This window comes from Homo sapiens, chromosome 6 (assembly GCF_000001405.40).
Source record: "Homo sapiens chromosome 6, GRCh38.p14 Primary Assembly".
Taxonomy (NCBI): domain Eukaryota; kingdom Metazoa; phylum Chordata; class Mammalia; order Primates; family Hominidae; genus Homo; species Homo sapiens.
The window spans coordinates 840,151-859,220 of NC_000006.12; positions in this window are offsets into that span (position 1 = coordinate 840,151).

Sequence of the window (19,070 nt, forward strand, 5' to 3'; positions counted from 1 at the left end):
ATGTGGATGTTTATAGCTGCCCTTTATGCATAATTTTCCAAATTTGGAAGCAGTCAATATGTCCTCCAGCAGGTGAACAGATTAATAAACTGTGGCACCACCAGACAATGGAATATTATTCAGCACTAAAATCAAAATTAACTATCATGTCATGAAAAGATATGGAGGAATCAGCACATTGCTAAGTGAAATAACCCAATCTGAAAAGGCTCCAAACTGTATGATTTCAACTATGTGACATTCTGGAAAAGGCAAAACTGTGGGGAGAGTAAAAAGATTGGTAGTTTGCTCAGGACTGGGGAGGGAGGAGAAAGGAGGGCTGAACAGGATTACGGGAGATTTTCAGGGCAGTGAAACTGATCTGTATGATAGTATTAATATAATTGTGGATACATTCATTATATATTTGTCTAAACCCATAGAATGCACAACACCAAGAGTGACATCTAATGTACTTTGGGTAACAATGACGTGTCAATGTTGGCTTATGGATTGCGACAAATGCACCACTCTGGAAGATGTTTTATTGACATGCCATGTTGCCCAGGCAGGTAGGTCGAGTCTACGGGAGAAGGTAAGTGGCCGCCGTGGGAAGATTCTAGTCTGCTCAACTCATGGGCCAACTCCCCAACCCATATGACATGTTTTACTGGCATTTCTTTCGAAATTTATTACAGTTACTGCATAACTCAAATTTTTATTTTTCCTTTTTGTAAGCCATTGTTGGTTCTTACGGTGGCATATTGGTTTCATATACTTTAGAAGTCCCAGGGTTATTTAAGAATCACTGTCCTTGATTGTAGGTATTGGTAAAAGCACAATTATGTATTCTAATTAGTTACTCTTGATAGTTACTCCTACTAATGAGAGCTTCTCATTTATCTCAGAATTTCCAAAGTCAAAGTCCTGATTTTTAGTGTCTACCCTCCCAGTGTTTACATGTTTTAACTATAGGATAACTTGGTGATTTTGGACTATTTTCTGTGGCAATTTATTTCAGCTCTGTAAGAAATGAATTTTTGATCATTGATAAGAACTAAAATCTAGTCAAACAGTTCTGCTAGTAATCAGTTCGACTTAAAAACAAACTGACAAAAGAACAGGCAAATTCTGGTCTAATCTCTCTGAGCACCATACCGTGGTATGTGCTCTCTTCTTCTTTTAACTTAAAAGATACAGCCCCGAGCAGTTGGGAATGCGATCTAGTTTTGTTGCTTTGCAGGACACCTAGGTACAGTGTCCCGTGTGGTGTTGTCAGAGGTGTTTGAAGCAGAGGAACTCCATCTTGAGTAGCAGCTGTGTAAAATGAGGCCGAGAGGCACTGGGCTGCCTTCTTAGGAGGTCGGGCATTCTTAGTCACAGGATGAGATAGGAGGTCGGCACAAGATACAGGTCACAAAGACCTTGCTGATACAGCAAGTTGCAGTACAGAAGCCGGCCAAAACCCACCAAAACCAAGGTGGGACCACAGTAACCTCTGGTTGTCCTCATTGCTCATTATATGTTAATTATAATGCGTTAGCACGCTGTTAGTAAAAGACACTCCCAGCAGCACCATGACAGTTTGCAAATGCCATGGCAACGTCAGGAAGTTACCCTATATGGTCTAAAAAAAAAAGGAGGAACTCTCAGTTCTGGGAATTGCCCACCCCTTTCCTGGAAAACTCATGAATAATCCACACCTTGTTTAGTGTATAATGTAGAAGTAACGATCAGTATAAGCAGCTGAGCAGACCATCCCACTCCTCTGCCTATGGAGTAGCCATCCTTTATTGCTTTATTCTCTTAATAAACTTGCTTTCACTTTATGGATTCGCCTCAAATTCTTTCTTGCGTGAGATCTAAGAATCCTCTCTTGGGGTCTGAATTGGGATCCCTTTCCTGTCTCAGTGTGATATTTTGCTGGCGATGAACCTTTACCGGTGGAGGTAAAGTGAAGGGTCCCCCCTCCTGGGTGTCCTGCTTACAGCTTCACATGCAAGTCTGGGGTTTTACATTTGGGAACATATGTTGAGTCATAGAATAAGCCCCTCCACTAAATTTTTCTCGCTGCCACTGACCTCTAAGCCACGCAGGAAATCCCTTTGTAAGCAAATTCCCATCCTCAGCCCTTTGGCTGTTTAGTCTGTGCAGGGCTAGGCCTGGCTTACTTGCTCCTTTGATTGGCAAGCCCCATACTAGAAACAACAAATGGACAGAGTCGCTCTCACCAGAAGCTCCTCGCTCTCACCAGAAGCTCCCCGCCCTCCGGCCTCCCGATCTGAAGACTCTTTCAGCTTTATTTGGACTGGAACTTGATGAGAGGTTCACTAGGCAGGAAACATGCCCCTCCTCCCAAAAATGCCACTGACAGGGACAGAGTTTCTCACAGACTTGGCGGCGAGCTGCAGGGACCTGAGCTACTCCATGGCTTGGGAATTTTAACTCTTGTCAAAGAAGGAAATAGCCTAAAACCATTTGTTTTCACTGAAGATGCAGCTAATTGTTTGATTAAAAACTATGGTTCTAATGGGATGTGAAATCAGTGAGTCAGATGAGCAGTAACTACATGATTCCAGCATATAAACTCCAGAATAAGCAAATCCATAGGGTTAGGGAGCATGTGAGTGGTTGCTGAAAGACTAGGGGGAGGTGAAATGGGAGTAAGTGTTCCTGGGCATGGGGTTGGTTTGGGGGGTGATAAAAATGTTCTGAAATTAGATTGTGGTGATGGTTGCACAGCTTCGTGAATATACTAAACACCTCTGAAATCGTACATTTTATAAAGGTGAATTTTATGATATGTGTTTATATCTCAATTTTATAGAAACCTGTATGAAGGGAATGAAAAATTGTTTTAACAGTGCCCACAAGCCACAGACTGGGAGAAAATATCTGCAAAAGACATATGTGCTAAAGAGCTGGTATCCAAAATACACAAATAACTCCTAAAACTCAACAAAAAGAAGCAAAACAACCCAAAGAGATGTGAAAAAACACATCATATGTATATATATGTATATATATACACACACACCCCCTATATATTTATAAGTATATATATAGATGGCTTATATATACATATATATAGATACCTATATATAGATAGATACCTATATATATATAGATAGATACCTATATATATATAGATAGATACATACATATATATATATATATGTATATATATATATATACAGATGGCAAGTATGCATATGAAAAGATGGTCAACATCATATGTCATTAGGGAATTGCAAATTAAAACAACAATGAGATAGCATGAACTCTCATTGCTGGCGGGAATTTACAGTAAGTAAATGGTCTTACCCCATGTGTTAGATTAGTCCACTTGAGCTGCCATAAAAATGTACCACAGGTTAAGTGGCTTAAACAACAGAAACTTAGGTTCTTACAAGTTCTGGAGGCTGGAAGTCCAAGATGGTGGTGTCAGCAGGGCTGGTTCCCGGTGAGGCCTCCGTCCTCAGCTTGCAGATGGTGCCTTCTTGCTGTGTCCTCATGTGGCCTTTCCTCTGCGTGTGCCTGGGTGGGTGGGGGTCTGGGGGTGGGGGATAGCAGGTGTTTCTTCTTATTTGTATAGACACCAATCCCATGGGCTTAGGGCCTCACTCTAATGACCTCATTTAACCTTACCTCCTTAAAGGCCCTATCTCCAAATACAGTCACATTAGGGGTTATGACTTCAACAGATGAATTGGGCAGGGAGCAGGGACCCAATTCAGTTCATAACATATGATTCAGCATCACACTCCTTGGGATTTCAAATGAGTTGAAAACCTACATCCACACAAAAACCTGCACATAGAGCAGGTTTATTCATAATTGCCACCCAACGTATCCTTCAATAGGTGAATGGAGTGGTAAGGATGTAATTTTATGAACATGGTGGTTTAAATATTTCTGTTCTTAGACAAATGTCTAATTAAATGACATGATATATGACATTAGCTCTCTTCACTTAGCATTTTGCCAATTAAGAAAAAAGACAAGAAGATTTAAATTTCTAATGCCAAGTGTATACCTATTAAATATAATATGAGACAATGAGAAACTCACGTGATTTTTTAAGGCGAAGCACCAACTTCTAGCTCTGGCTTCACTCCCTCAAGCTTCAGGTGTGTGCACCCTCTTGTCTGCACTGAGAGGTATTTCCAGGGAAAATGGCAAAGTCTCATCTGACAGCCCTGTGCCTGGCTCAGGCCTGCAGTTCCTTTGGGAAAGTACCTGTGGTTGTGTGTTAGCAGCAAAGGATATCTTGATAAATCTTTATTTCTCAAACTCTCTATTTTAACCTACCTCTACCCTTATTCTGGCCTAGTCTCCAAATTTTACTTTATTTGTCTTGTATTTCTAGAGGGATGAGGCCACAAAATGAAAATACTGAAAATCTCATGAGCTCTGAGTACCTCCTAGAGGCTGAATAACCATCACCCTATGTTTGGATGCGTTATTATTTTCTTCTTGGCTAAAGATGCTACTGTAATGAATAAAATACACACAACTTTAATACTGCTGTCATTTGCTTAATCATCAGTTAGTAAAAGGACACCATCATGTTGAGCCCACACATTTCTTGAGGTAAAAAGGTTTAGAAAGTTCTAGAATGAGGTATTTCATATCTAACACAGCATTACATACATCCAGAACACTTTAGGTGATGTAAATTAGTTATGTCCACTTCAGTAACAAGTTATAGAAAATCCTGGCCAGAAATGGATTCAGTGAGAGAGAGAGAGAGGAAAATAAGCATTTATAGGCAGAAGGAGCTGAGATAGACAGTCCTGACTTTAAATGAGGTGTAATCCAGCACCTCAGAAGCTGTCATTTTGGCTGCTCTGTCTCCCCAATTGACTTCCCTCTTAGGTCCACTCATGGCTGCCCAGCAGCCAGGAGTCCCAAAGTCTTGCCCCAAAGTTCTGGAGGAAATGAGAGGAATCTTCACAGAAGCTCCTGCACAAGTCCTCTCTCTCACCAGCCTAAATTTAGCCTCTGCAAATAAGTCAAGGGTATGTCCCATTGCAGCCCGGGGCTGGTTAGAGCTTATTAGGACCCACCAATGACAAATGGCTGAGATTGGAAAGGAGTGCTGTTGGTCAGAGTAAGAGGGAGGATGCAGGGAAACACCCCCAGACATCCGCCCCATGTGGTCCTATCATGCTGGCTCATTCAGCATTTTGCAGATGACACTGTGGTTTCACATGTGATTTTACAAAGCAATCAATGGACAAATATTTATCAGCATTCTTTTTGCATGGTGTATCCATCTCATTTTGGGTTAAACAGTTGTGTCTGCTCAGAAAGTCCAAATAATCTGGTTGGATAGATAAGACATAAAATAATGAGTGAAAGAACAATTTTATTAAGAGTAACATTAAGTAATGATAAGATATCGTCATAAGTTGCCTGAAACAATTAGGAGGCTGACATTAATTCATTGTATTAGCTATCTATTGCCACATAACAGATTATTGCTGTCTTAAATTTAGCAGTTTTAAACAACAAACGTTTGTTATCTCCCAGTTTCATGGGTCAGGAAGTTGGGAGCATCTCAGTGGGTGGTTCTGGCTCAAGTCTCTCATGCAGTTGCTGTCAAGCCATTGGCCAAGGCTGCAGTGACATCTGAAGACCCAACTGGGCTTCTGAGTTCAGTCACGTGCTTGCTGGCAGGACCTTGGATTCTTGCTAGCTGCTGGCTGGAGATTTCAGTTCCTCACCATGTGGGTCTCTCCCAGCAGATCAGCAGGCTTACCTCCAAACAAGTGGGGAGGGAAAGAGAGAAAGAGAATCCAATACAGAAGTCACAGTCTTTTTTAATTACATAATCTTAGAAATGACATAGCATCTCTTCTGCTGTGTGTTATTGGTCACCACCTTTAGCACAACGTGGAAGGAAACTACACCCGGCGAGAATATCAGGGGCCAAGGATCGTTGGGATTCATCTCAGAGGCTGCCAACTATATCCCTGTTTGATGTTCTTAGCACAAGGTGAAAACCTTTAACAACTATTGCTTTTGTTACATGGGAGAATCCATTCACCCGTCTAATAACTTGTGGCAACATACCATTGTTATCCTGTGGCTGTTGTACCCTATGAAAGCCTACACAAGGTGATCTGTGGCTCCTCCCAACTCAGGAAGGAAGGCTCTATTGCCCTTTTGTATCCAGTTTAAAATAACACCAGGACATATTGCATGGGGGGCTTTCCTGGTATAGGTAGGAGAGGTCTACTGAGCTGGCACCTTGAGCACTGTTCATGTTTATTTGAGACTGAAAGAGAGATGAACCTGGCTGTAGGAGGGCAGCCGCGGCCAGAGGTTGAGAGACTCGAAGTATCCAGATGGAAGTGGAGGTGGAAATCTGCAGAGACGTCAGGAAACACACCTGTTAGCCACAGGGGCCAGGAGAGGATCCGGGACTGCGGTGCAGAGTGGTAAGTCTGGAGGTCTCGGGAGTATCCCCACAAGGCCAGGCAGGGAAGGGCATTCTTTCTCAGTGCCAGACATGTGATACTGCCTCTGGGAATGTTAGTTGGATGTCTGTCTATTCTACTCTGTAAGGCTTCATCTTTTCCTAAATAAGGTGGATTAACTCTTGGATATTGACATAGGGTGTATTTACCCCACGCAGAGTTGCTTTCCATTTTCAAACGTGGTTGTTGCTACTTGTTATCTGGTCACACCTTTGCTGAAGAAGTCTTTCAGGAGAAGAAAGTGAGAGTAAGAGATTAAAAGAATACCAGTCAGTGTTAGCCACTAAGAAGTCCTATTGCATAGCGTCAGGAGGGAGTGAATGAATGCAGAGAACTTTCAACATTATGCCCGCCACTTAGAAACACGAATGCGTGGTTAGTGCAGGCACCATTCCCCACAGGGCTCATGACAGTCTTGCTCTGGTTTTGAGACATCACATGGTATAGAAAGCAGGTCCAAGCAAGAGATTGGTTCCCTGGCTGAAGTGTCTGTTCTTGACTCACATAATCTTTGAGGATCAAGCTCCTGTGGGCGGCATATCAGGGCGGCTCTCCTCTGGGCTGCTCGGCAACTTGATCTTCAGCTACTGGCATCCATTGCACCTGCTTTCCCCAGAACCCACAATAGTTTGCTTCTCTCCCTCTCCCCATTGTGAGAATACTCCAAGTCTTTGGGCTGCCCACAGACCGATGCCTGGCACTGTGTACTCTCGAACGACGGACACGTTCAGCATTCCTCAGACACCATGCAGTGGAGACAGTGGGACTGGGCATATTTTAGAATGCCTTACTGAGTATCTACAAAAACCACCTATAAAAAAGACTTAAGTCATCATAAGCCAATAAGATGTGTAGAAACCTTATGGCTATGTTTGCATGTTGATATAACATTCTAATTAAGTATATCTATTATGTGATTGTGAGTTTACCAAATGTATTACATGAAAAATATTAATTTGTGGGTCACACCAGCCTCGAGTCCTTTGAAGTCCATTTATATAGAAATGTGGGGACTCCACTGGAAGTGGGAGAGGAAACATAGTCTTACGAAGTGACAAGCCCAACCCCCAGCTCACCAATAATGGATACAGGGTGACTGATACTTAAGAATGCTTTTAGATGTACATGTCTTTTCCATAGTTTCAATGTGGCCCACCTATAAAATTCATAAATAAGGAAAACATCTTTAAAAAGTTAAGTGTGGATAGAATCCAGCTATTAGAAGCAAGCTCGCTCTGTGTGTCTCCGTTTTCTCACTACTCAGGCTCAGAATGGATCTGTGCTATATTCCTGTTCCCTGAGCTTTGCTGATTACAAAGAGATTCCCTTCTCTATCACCACGTTTTATGGACTGATGCCGCCATGCTTCCCTGGAAGACAAAAAGGAGAAGAAAAATCTCTTCTATGCACTTCACATGTATGGACGTATATTGAGTTAGGCTAAAATGTAAATAGAGTTTCACTGAGAGAGAAAAGAAGCATTAATTTTATTCCAACATTTATGACTATATGACATATGGACCCCTCTTTTCTCCATCGTTGCTTCTCCTGTTCATAATAGCAAGGCATTGACTTAAGGTATTTGGCCAACTTCCTCGAAGCTCTTTCTAAGTAGAAACGAGGAAGAGCGAGGTGCATGAATCAACAGCAGCTCTCCCATGTTGATCAAACAAGGCTGGCATTGCTGCAAAAATGAGAAAGCAGATCTGGGACAAACGCTGGGCTCTATTTCCTCGTATTGTATTTTGCTTTGGCAACTTGCAGGCTTAGTTATTAGAGCAGCAGATGTTTTTTAAGACTTACAGGGAAAAGAGCATATCAGATTCCATGCCCATGCCTGTCCCAAATGCACATGGCAAGAAGGGTTACTTGGAACTGAACACCCAGAGGGGCAGAGGACATATTCAGAGGTCCTTAACAGCACCAAGGGAATATCTTTTCAACAAAAAATGAATTTATTCTCAGAGCGGGTCAAACCTCCTTATTCCCAGGTTCATTTTGACCTTTAGCCGCAAGGATGCAATTGTTTCATTAAAAAACAAACAAACAAACAAACAAACAAACAACAAACAAAACACTCCTGAGGTTTCCTACCCAGAAACCACAGCTCTAAGAGGGGCCCTGTGATTCTCCATCTGTTCTCTATGTACCTGGGGGGCTGGGAGGACCCATCGTCTCTGCCTGGCTTGGATTCTTGCATCGCCCGAGCATTTGCCTTGAGCATAGCGGATACTCCACATGTACCTGGGCTCTCCTGATTCCTTAAGGATACTCCAGGTTTAAAGAATTCTGAGATTCCCCAGTGTTGTGATTCTTACAGTTTCTTTCTAATTTGGTCTTGAGGTGTCTCTCTTGAGAGTGACCCTAAGCCAAGACAGCCATTTTTAGGAGAACCCTGATGTGGGAATTGCACATGTGGGTCTGGTGAGACACAATGAGAAAGTGAAAACAGAATGCATGAAACAGACAAAATTTATTACTCACAGGTACAGAGAGGTTAGGGGTGCCAGCAGGAGACCAACGGGAAGTTTGCAGGTGGCAGGGAGCTCAAGTGATGGGTGGTGGGTGAGAGAGAGAAGGAGAGAGAGAGTGGGGACCTGTGGGACTAAGCCATGGACGTGATCCCTTGGGCCTTCCTGTGGGGGTTGTGGATTGCACATGCAAGGGGAAGAGCTTATTTACATGACTCGGGCTGACCATTATGTTTTATCATGGTCAGCAGCTGTGGGCTTTGCAGAGTTTTGGGTCAGTGGGATGAAGAACAAACAGGTTTTATCTCAAACAATCACACGGAGAGGAAAAGTTTTAACTAGGCCAAAGGTGACCGGGTACCACTGGGTTTCAAACAACTTACATCAGGCCTAGAAAGCAATTGTATTAGACAAGTGCATTACACTCTGTGTCCTTTGATTTAAGCTCTGCTTCGGTGGATGGTATTTTTCAGGAGAGGAGGTAGACCACATGGCAGGAAGAGGGTGACATTAAATAGATGTGAATAGTACAGTAGAAGGTCTCAGGGGATTTGGGATGTGAAAAACTGGTGAACCACTGCATTCAAGCTGCAGTTGATAAAGACGGTGCTGTGCTGGCTTCTGTTCTTTGTATTTAAGATTTTGTTTTTAATTAATAGCCTACCTATCAAAAAAAGTCCAGGACCGGACAGATTCACAGCCAAATTCTACCAGAGGTACAAAGAGGAAATGGTACCATTCCTTCTGAAACTATTCCAAACAATAGAAAAAGAGGGAATCCTCCCTGACTCATTTTATGAGGCCAGCATCATCCTGATACCAAAACCTGGCAGAGACACCACACACACACACACACACATACACACAAACCCAGAAAATTTCAGGCCAATATCCTTGATGAACATCATGCAAAAATCCTCAATAAAATACAGGCAAACCAAATCCAGCAGCACATCAAAAAGCTTATCCACCACAATCAAGTCAGCTTCATCTTTAGGATGTAAGGCTGGTTCAACATAGGCAAGTCAATAAACATAATCCATCACATAAACAGAACCAATGACAAAAACCACATGATTATCTCAATAGATGCAGGAAACGCCTTCGACAAAATTCAACATCCCTTCAGGCTAAAAACTCTTAATAAACTAGGCATTGATGGAACATATCTCAAAATAATAGGAGCTATTTATGACAAACCCACAGCCAATATCGTACTGAATGGGCAAAAACTGGAAACATTCCCTTTGAAAACCGGCAGAAGACAAGGATGCCCTCTCTCACCACTCGTATTCAACATAGTGTTGGAAGTTCTGGCCAGGGCAATCAGGCAAGAGAAAGAAATAAAGGGTATTCAAGTAGGAAAAGAGGAAGTCAAATTGTCTGTGTTGCAGATGACATGATTGTATATCTAGAAAACCCTATCATCTCAGCCCAAAATCTCCTTATGCTGATAAGCAACTTCAGCAAAGTCTCAGGATAAAAAAGCAATGTGCAAAAATCACAAGCATTCTTATACACTAATAACAGACAAACAGAGAGCCAAATCATGAGTGAACTCCCATTCACAATTGCTACAAAGAGGATAAAATACCTAGGAATACAACTTACAAGGGATGTGAAGGGCCTCTTCAAGGAGAACTACAAACCACTGTTCAAGGAAATAAGAGAGGACACAAACAAATGGAAAAATATTCCATGCTCATTGATAGGAAGAATCAATATCGTCAAAATAGCCATACTGCCCAAAGTAATTTGTAGATTCAATACTATCCCAATCAAGCTACCATTGACTTTCTTCACAGAATTGGAAAACACTACTTTAAATTTCATATGGGGCCGGGCGCGGTGGCTCACGCCTGTAATCCCAGCACTTTGGGAGGCCGAGGCGGGTGGATCATGAGGTCAGGAGATCGAGACCATCCTGGCTAACAAGGTGAAACCCCGTCTCTACTAAAAATACAAAAAAAAATTAGCCGGGCGCGGTGGCGGGCGCCTGTAGTCCCAGCTACTCGGGAGGCTGAGGCAGGAGAATGGCGTGAACCCGGGAAGCGGAGCTTGCAGTGAGCCGAGATTGCGCCACTGCAGTCCGCAGTCCGGCCTGGGCGACAGAGCGAGACTCTGTCTCAAAAAAAAAAAAAAAAAAAAAAAAATTTCATATGGAACCAAAAAAGAGCTCGCATAGCCAAGACAATCCTAAACAAAAAGAACAAAGCTGGAGGGATCATGCTACCTGACTTTAAACTATACTACAAGGCTACAGTAACCAAAACAGCATGGTGCTATTAACAAAACAGCAAAATAGATATATAGACCAATGGAACACAACAGAGGCCTCAGGAATAATGCCACACATCTACAACCATCTGATCTTTGACAAACCTGACAAAAACAAGCAATGGGGAAAGGATTCCCTATTTAATAAATGGTGCTGGGAAAACTGGCTAGCCATATGCAGAAAGCTGAAACTGGTTCCCTTCCTTACACTTTATACAAAAATTAACTCAAGATGGATTAAAGACTTAAATGTAAGGCCTAAAACCATAAAAACCTTAGAAGAAAACCTAGGCAATATCATTCAGGACATAGGCATGGGCAAAGACTTCATGACTAAAACACCAAAGACAATTGCAACAAAAGCCAAAACTGACAAATGGGATCTAATTAAACTAAAGAGCTTCTGCACAGCAAAAGAAACTATCATCAGAGTGACAGGCAATTTACAGAATGGGAGAAAATGTTTGTAATCTATCCATCTGACAAAGGGCTAATATCCAGAATCTACAAGGAACTTAAACTTATTTACAAGAAAAAAAAAAACAACCCCATCAAAAAGTGGGCAAAAGATATAAACAGACTTCTCAAAAGAAGACATTTATGCAGCCAACAAACATATGAAAAAAGGCTCATCATGCCTGGTCATTAAAGAAATGCAAATCAAAACCACAATGAGATACCATCTCATGCCAGTTAGAATGGCAATCATTAAAAAGTCAGGGAACAACAGATACTGGAAAGGATGTGGAGAAATAGGAATGCTTTTACACTGTTAGTGGGAGTGTAAATTAGTTCAACCATTGTGGAAGACAGTATCGTGATTCCTCAAGGATCTAGAACTAGAAATACTATTTGACCCAGCAATCCCAATACTGGGTATATACCCAAAGGATTATAAATCATTCTACTATAAAGACACATGCACACAGCACACATATGTTTATTGTGGCACTGTTCACAATAGCAAAGACTTGGAACCAACCCAAATGCCCATAAATGATAGACTGGATAATGAAAATGTGGCACGTATACACCATGGAATACTATACACCCATAAAAAAGGATGAGTTCATGTCTTTGTAGGGACATGGATGACGCTGGAAACCATCATTCTCAGCAAACTAACACAAGAACAGAAAACCAAACACTGCATGTTTTCACTCATAAGTAGGAGTTGAACAACGAGAACACATGGACGCAGGTAGGGGAACATCACACACTGGGGCCTGTCAGGAGGTGGGGGCGTAGGGGAGGGATAGCATTAGGAGAAATACCTAATGCAGATGATGGGTTGATGGGTGCAGCAAACCACCATGGCATGTGTATACCTATGTAACTATCCTGCACGTTCTGCACATGTACCCCAGAACTTAAAGTATAATAAAAAAAATTTCATTTTTATCTCCCATCACCAATGTACTGTTACAGTATGATACTATTACTGACTATGCCCCATAAGGATGACACTCCCACATCTTTGATTGTTTCTGATTTTGGTGGTGTATTGGCCTGAGTTGTGTTCTCCCAGAATTCAGCCTTAACCCTCAATATCTTAGAGTATGACTATTTGGAGATAGGCCTTTAAAGAGGTAATTTATTTAAAATGAAGCTGTTGGGGTGGACCTATCTAACTGGTATCCTCATAAGCAGAGGAGATTAGGACATGTAGAGATACCAGAGATACACAGAAGAAGGACCGTGTGAGAACACAGGGAGATGGCCCTGTCTGCAGGCTAAGCCGAGGCCAGCAAAACTGACCCTGCGGATGCCTTGAGCTTAGACTTCCAACCACCAGAACTGTGGGAAAATACATTTCTGTAGTTTGCAGCAGCCAGTCTGTGGTATTTTGTTATGGCGAGCCTGGCAAATGAATACAGGTGGCTTTTCTCATTTTTGCAGTAATTGCCAAAATGGCTGCAAATTACTCCCCTCCTTGCAGCTACACTCTTTTGCATTGTGACTTTGCAGCTCAGGGAGGAAGGACTATTCACTATCACTTGACTTTGTGGACTTATTCTAGCCAATAAAATGTGCCAGAAATGTCCAGGCTGGGCTTTGAGATGAGGCTTCCCTGGAGCCCACTCAGGCCCCCTGTGACCAGTGCAGGCTGACTCATTGCCAGTTTCAGCCGGCTGGTGGGCTTCAGGTACGTGAGTGAGCCTGGCCCAGAGCAGCAGCATGGCCTGGCCTAGTCCAGCCCAAGCTGCTAACCAGATGATTGCTGGAAATCACTAACTCTTGTTGGTTTATTCTGTAGCAAATCTAACTGGGCTGATTTCCCATTCAGAGGAGCAGGACAAAGCCAGGTCACGGCTTGTCAATCTATACAACGTAGGTTTCCAGTAAGTGTGAGTATCCTCAACCCAAACCCTGCACCCCCAGGTCAGGAGGCCAAAGAAGTTGAACAGTGAACTAGTTAGGTTCTGTCTACTTAATTTAGAATAATTTTTCTCATAATTTGACCAACATGCATGAGAGAAGTCCTCAACCTCTGCCAAATTAAGTGTATCCTATGACTCTCCATCTGAAAACATCCTTTCTGGGGCCAGGGAAGTTTCTTCCATCCCTGTCTTTTGGTGGCTGTGTTGAAGATGCAATGAGAAGATATTGGTCATCCTCCTTTTCCTAGGTAAATTCTGCCATTTGCCCTCTGAATGCTATCTACCTTCAGAACGCTATCACTTGCTCCTGTCCAACGAGAAAGAGTGAGCTTTGTGTCTTGTAGCAAATGCACGATTTGATGAGCATATCTTTGCTCTCACTTTCTGGTTGAGAGCTTCTGCTTTCTGATTTTGAGGCTAGATTTTAACCGCATCTGAGAAGGAGACTTCTTAACACAGGGCAGTTAGAGAAACGAAGCATGTCCTGTACCAGGAGAACATGTTAAGTGAGTTTACTTTTGAGAGACAGAAACTGGACCTAAGGCTGGCTTCAGTTCTTCTCCTTCCACAGAGCTCCCGGAATGTCCCAGAATGTTGAAGCCTGGGGGCTTTGCCCTTCTCAGTGCTCTGAGGAGGCATTTTCTAGTGTGTGCTCTCTGAAGGATCAGAAAGGTGAGCCACGTGGAGATCACCTGTGGCTGATGTGGTTCACGGGCTCCTGCCAGGGGCAGTCACTGGTTTTGTCTGCTGTAGATCTATCATCTGTTAGGCACCTTATACATTTTTTTTGAGACAGAGCAGTAAAGGAATGTGCCCCAGATCATTAAAGTCCTGTGTGTGGGCTGTCTGCGTGGGGGAGGCACTGCCACAGAGGACACGTTGGACGTGACCGGTTCATATGAAAATCCCCTTGGAAAATGCATGTGGCACCAGATTGCTGGAGTTTTCTCAGTCTAAACAGTTCCTGATGATCTCCCTCCCTCTTGCTTGCTCTTTATATATATCTATATTTTTTTAAACTGAAACTAAACTGTTATCTACAAAGGAACTCATCAGCGTGCACGCACACACAGCATTCCATCCAATCCCTGCCCTCGCCCACCCACTGTCCAAATAAAAACACTTCAAATGTTTTGGATCCAGTTTCTTATTTCCTGTGAGCAGTTGCCGGCATTACTTTACGTGGAGAGGTTTGGTTGTAAGATGAGCAGATGCCCATGAGCTCTATCCCTCGTAGTAAGTTAGGCCAGCAGGCTGTGAGACTTTGGAGACTGATGCCAATTTTCTTCTTAGAGCATAATCCTGTAATGCTCAACAGAAAGTTTTTGCTCTTTTGAATTAAAGCCTTACTACTTTGCCTGATTTGTGTTTGAGGTTTTATATTTTTTTCCTTTAGTAGAGACAATTTAATCTCAAAATGCCAAGTCCTCTTAAACTTCCCTACTCTGTTGTGGAGTGTGTTTCATCTTAAAAACATCCCAGAGAAACTTGGAAGAGGTCCTTGGGTTAGCGAATGCCCTCCTCGCCATCATAGAGACTGCTGAGCACAAGACGAAAAACGCACGTCTGTCAGACTGTTTTACCATCAAATAATGAAGACGTTTGCATGCCATTTTAGATTTTGCAGCTCCCTACTGCTTATCTTCCGGAGGCCCGTGGCGTCCAGTGTTGGTCCACCAGTTACACTTGGCAGGTGCGAGTGTTTGAGTGTTTCACTACAACATTCCTGCCTGCAAAACCTCCTGCTCCGTTGTTCTCCTTAAATCAGTCCCACTTCCAGAGGTTTGATTCCACTCTATTCCCTGGTCTATGGTGTCAACTAGGAATTTGTTCTCCGTTGTTATTGGGGTGCTTTCCCAGACTCAAAGAAATGTCCTAGATTCCCAGGGTTCTCATGCAGATTCAACCTTTGGGGAATTTTCTCCTTGAAAGCCTGCGGTGTCATTGCTTCCATGCCTTGTGTGGGCTCAGGAGTCCTTGCTCAGGGACCCTGGGGCGGGGATTCCACCTCCCTAGGCACATTTCTGCACGTTCCTCTGCAGCCTTGCCCCCTCCCAGGCTCATGATGGTGGGCCCTGCCGCTTTTCCTGCCCTTCCCCACTTCGGGAGTCTGCCTGTTTTTCCTCATTATCTCTGCCTTTTTCCAACCCCCTAATGCAATCTCCTCCAGAAGGTAGAACCCTGGGAGGAAGAGAGCCAGGAAGGGAAGAGTCTATGGGTACAAAGAGTTCGTGCACATGGAACACACGGTACCACATCACTAAGAAAATTAACCTTCCGTGTCTGGATGAGGAAAGTCAGGTGCAGAGAAGGTAAGTGACTTATAGAAAGCCAGACGACAGATAAACCACAGGCTTCAGTATAAAGGAAGCCTTCTGAATGCAGGTCACATGTCCTTTATAAAGAGGAAAACTGAACTAAGGTGCTTTCAAGTGTTGAATCCCATGTGTTTTCCAGGATGGAAAGTTAAAGTCTACTCTGTGGAACAGAAACAGGAATTATCTTCTTTCCAAGGGTGGCTTGACCCATCGGTGACACACTTCTGCAATCTAGTTCCTAGGCCATAGAAGTCCAGTCACTGATGCCAAGAGCCAGTGCGAGACCTCCCATTCTCAGCACTTATTACCCCTATGCACCACAGTGGTCGGCCAAACTTCTAGGGTGTCTGTGGACAACATTTGGCAGGTTTCTTTTTTTTTTTTTTTTTGAGACAGAGTCTCTCTCTGTCGCCCAGGCTGGAGTGCAGTGGCGCGAGCTCAGCTCACTGCAAGCTCGGCCTCCCGGGTTCACGCCATTCTCCTGCCTCAGCCTCCCGAGTAGCTGGAACTGCAGGTGCCCACCACCACGCCCGGCTAATTTTTTGTATTTTTAGTAGAGATGGGGTTTCACCGTGTTAGCCAGGATGGTCTCGATCTCCTGACCTCATGATCCGCCGGCCTCGGCATCCCAAAGTGCTGGGATTACAGGCGTGAGCCACTGCGCCCAGCCACATCTGGCAGGTTTCAATCCCGGCCTTGCTTCTTGGGTAACAGGTGTCTATTTTCCCTATCTCTTTGTAAAACAGAAAGTGTTGTAGTAAACATTAGTGCTCAGAAAGTAAACTGAAAATGTAGATGGATTGCCACTTTGAATCGGAAGCTCCTAAAATCTTCTAGCTGAAGAAAAACATAGAGTTGAAAACTGGATTTGCTGCTTTTCTGGAAAAATAAAGTCAGTTATAATTTTTTCTATATTATATTTTTAAAAAAGATTGCATATTTTGACAAGTGAAAATGCTGATAGGAGCCTTATAGAAAAGCTGATAATATTGCAACAAAATGTATGAATCCTGCTAAGGGCATTCTAGCCTTCTAAGGTTGGACATTTTATAAATGTGGCTAGATATTCAGGCTTATTGCACCATCGCTGCATTTTTTTCTTAGATTGCTCTCTTCAGAGGAAATAAATTAAAATATACTAATTGTGTTAGAAAAGCCTAAACCTTAAAATTCAATATAATTGTGGTCAAATAATGCAGATTATGAAATGTGCATGTGAGAGTCCTAGCTCAAGGAGAAGTCGTGCCTCAGTCACTGCCACTCGTCCACCCATCCATCCTCCTATCCGCTCATTTATCCATCCATCCACCTATCCATCCATCCATCCATCCATCCATCCATCCATCCATCCTCCTATCCTCTCATTTATCCATCCATCCACCTATCCACCCATCCATCCATCCTCCTATCCTCTCATTTATCCATCCATCCACCTATCCATTCCTCCATCCATCCTCCTCTCATTTATCCATCCATCCACCTATCCATCCATCCATCCATCCATCCATCCATCCATCCATCCATCCATCCTCCTGTCCTCTCATTTATCCATCCATCCACCTATCCACCCATCCATCCATCCTCCTATCCTCTCATTTATCCATCCATCCACCTAGTCACCCATCCATCCATCCTCTTATCCTCTCATTTATCCATCCATCCACCTATCCGTCCATCCATCCTCCTATCCTCTCATTTATCCATCCATCCACCTATCAATCCATCCATCCATCCACCTATCAATCCATCCATCCATCCTCCTATCCTCTCATTTATCCATCGATCCACCTATCCACCTATCCATCCATCCTCCTATCCTCTCATTTATCCATCCATCCACCTATCCATCCATCCATCCATCCATCTATGTGTCTATCCAACAAATAGTTACTCAGCACCTACTGTGTACCCAGCAGTATTTTAGGAGCTGAGGTCACACGTCACACAACTGAGTAAAAGAGATAAAAAAAGTCCCTGCTGTATTGGAGCTCACACCCTGGGCCAACTTCTGTCTTTGAGCCTCTTCCAGATGAGGCTGATGCCAATGGGAAACTTTCCTCCAAGGGAAGGTGTGCACTTAGTCCCTACACTTTCTCCAAGTGGTTAGTATTTGGTAAGTTCATAAGTTAGGAAACCTTTATGGTGGTCCCACACTCCTGGGCATACATCAGGAGAGTACAGTTTTCATAACATGCGTGACTAATCTTTTGCATTTCTTTTTCTTGAAATCAAGAATATGAAGGCAATTAAAGAACAAAAACCATAGCATGCCCCAAATTACGAAAAGAACTGGCATTTGCAAAGAATAACATCCTCACTCAGGCCTCATGTTGTAAGTGAGGAAACTACGAATCAAAGACAACAAGCAGCCCTCTGCTTAGCTCAGCTCCCAGGAACCATTCTCTTCCCAGAGCACATGTTCTGGAGGGGCCTGGTTTTCCATCTTCTCTGGGTAAGTTACCCGATAGAGCCTTCGCTGTCAGGCTCTGGCTTCTCTATGTGTGCACTTTTTGCCATTTCTCTGTCTCCTATTCCTGATAATATCGTTTAAGTCAGTTTAGGTGCCAGCCACCTGTCGTTAGTTTCATTTTATTCCTCGATGGATCTTGTCTCTATGATTTTCTCATCAAATTTACTTGTTCAATCTCATTTATCTTTGTTTTCCCCTATCCCGCCTTTTGGCAATAAAGCTCACTGCCTGGCATATAATAGATGATCAATTAATTATTGGTAAATGAGGCAATGGATAGTGATAGATCTTTTATATGTAGAATACTTAAAAATCTTTCTCTTTTTCCCAGAGATCCTCTGATGAAAGCATAACCAGAGGGAGGCTTACCCTCTACTTGCTCACCTTCTCCCCTGCTGAGATGGCCTTTGGAGGCTCTTCCAGTTAATTTGCCTTACGCGGCACTGCATCATGTTTCTAGTTAACTGCAAAGCAAATAGTCCATGGCCTAGAGGAGGCCTGCACCCTGGAACAATTGTTGGAATACGCTGGCCATTTAATATGTCAAGAGTGAAGGAGAAATATTCCTTGTGTGGCTTTGGTGATAAAGTGTGAAAAGGACTGCAAAGCCCGTGTGTCACCGAGGAGAGGGTCAGAAGAATGTTGTTGGCAGGGCAGAGGCCACTTCTAGATGCTGGTGTGATGGAGAA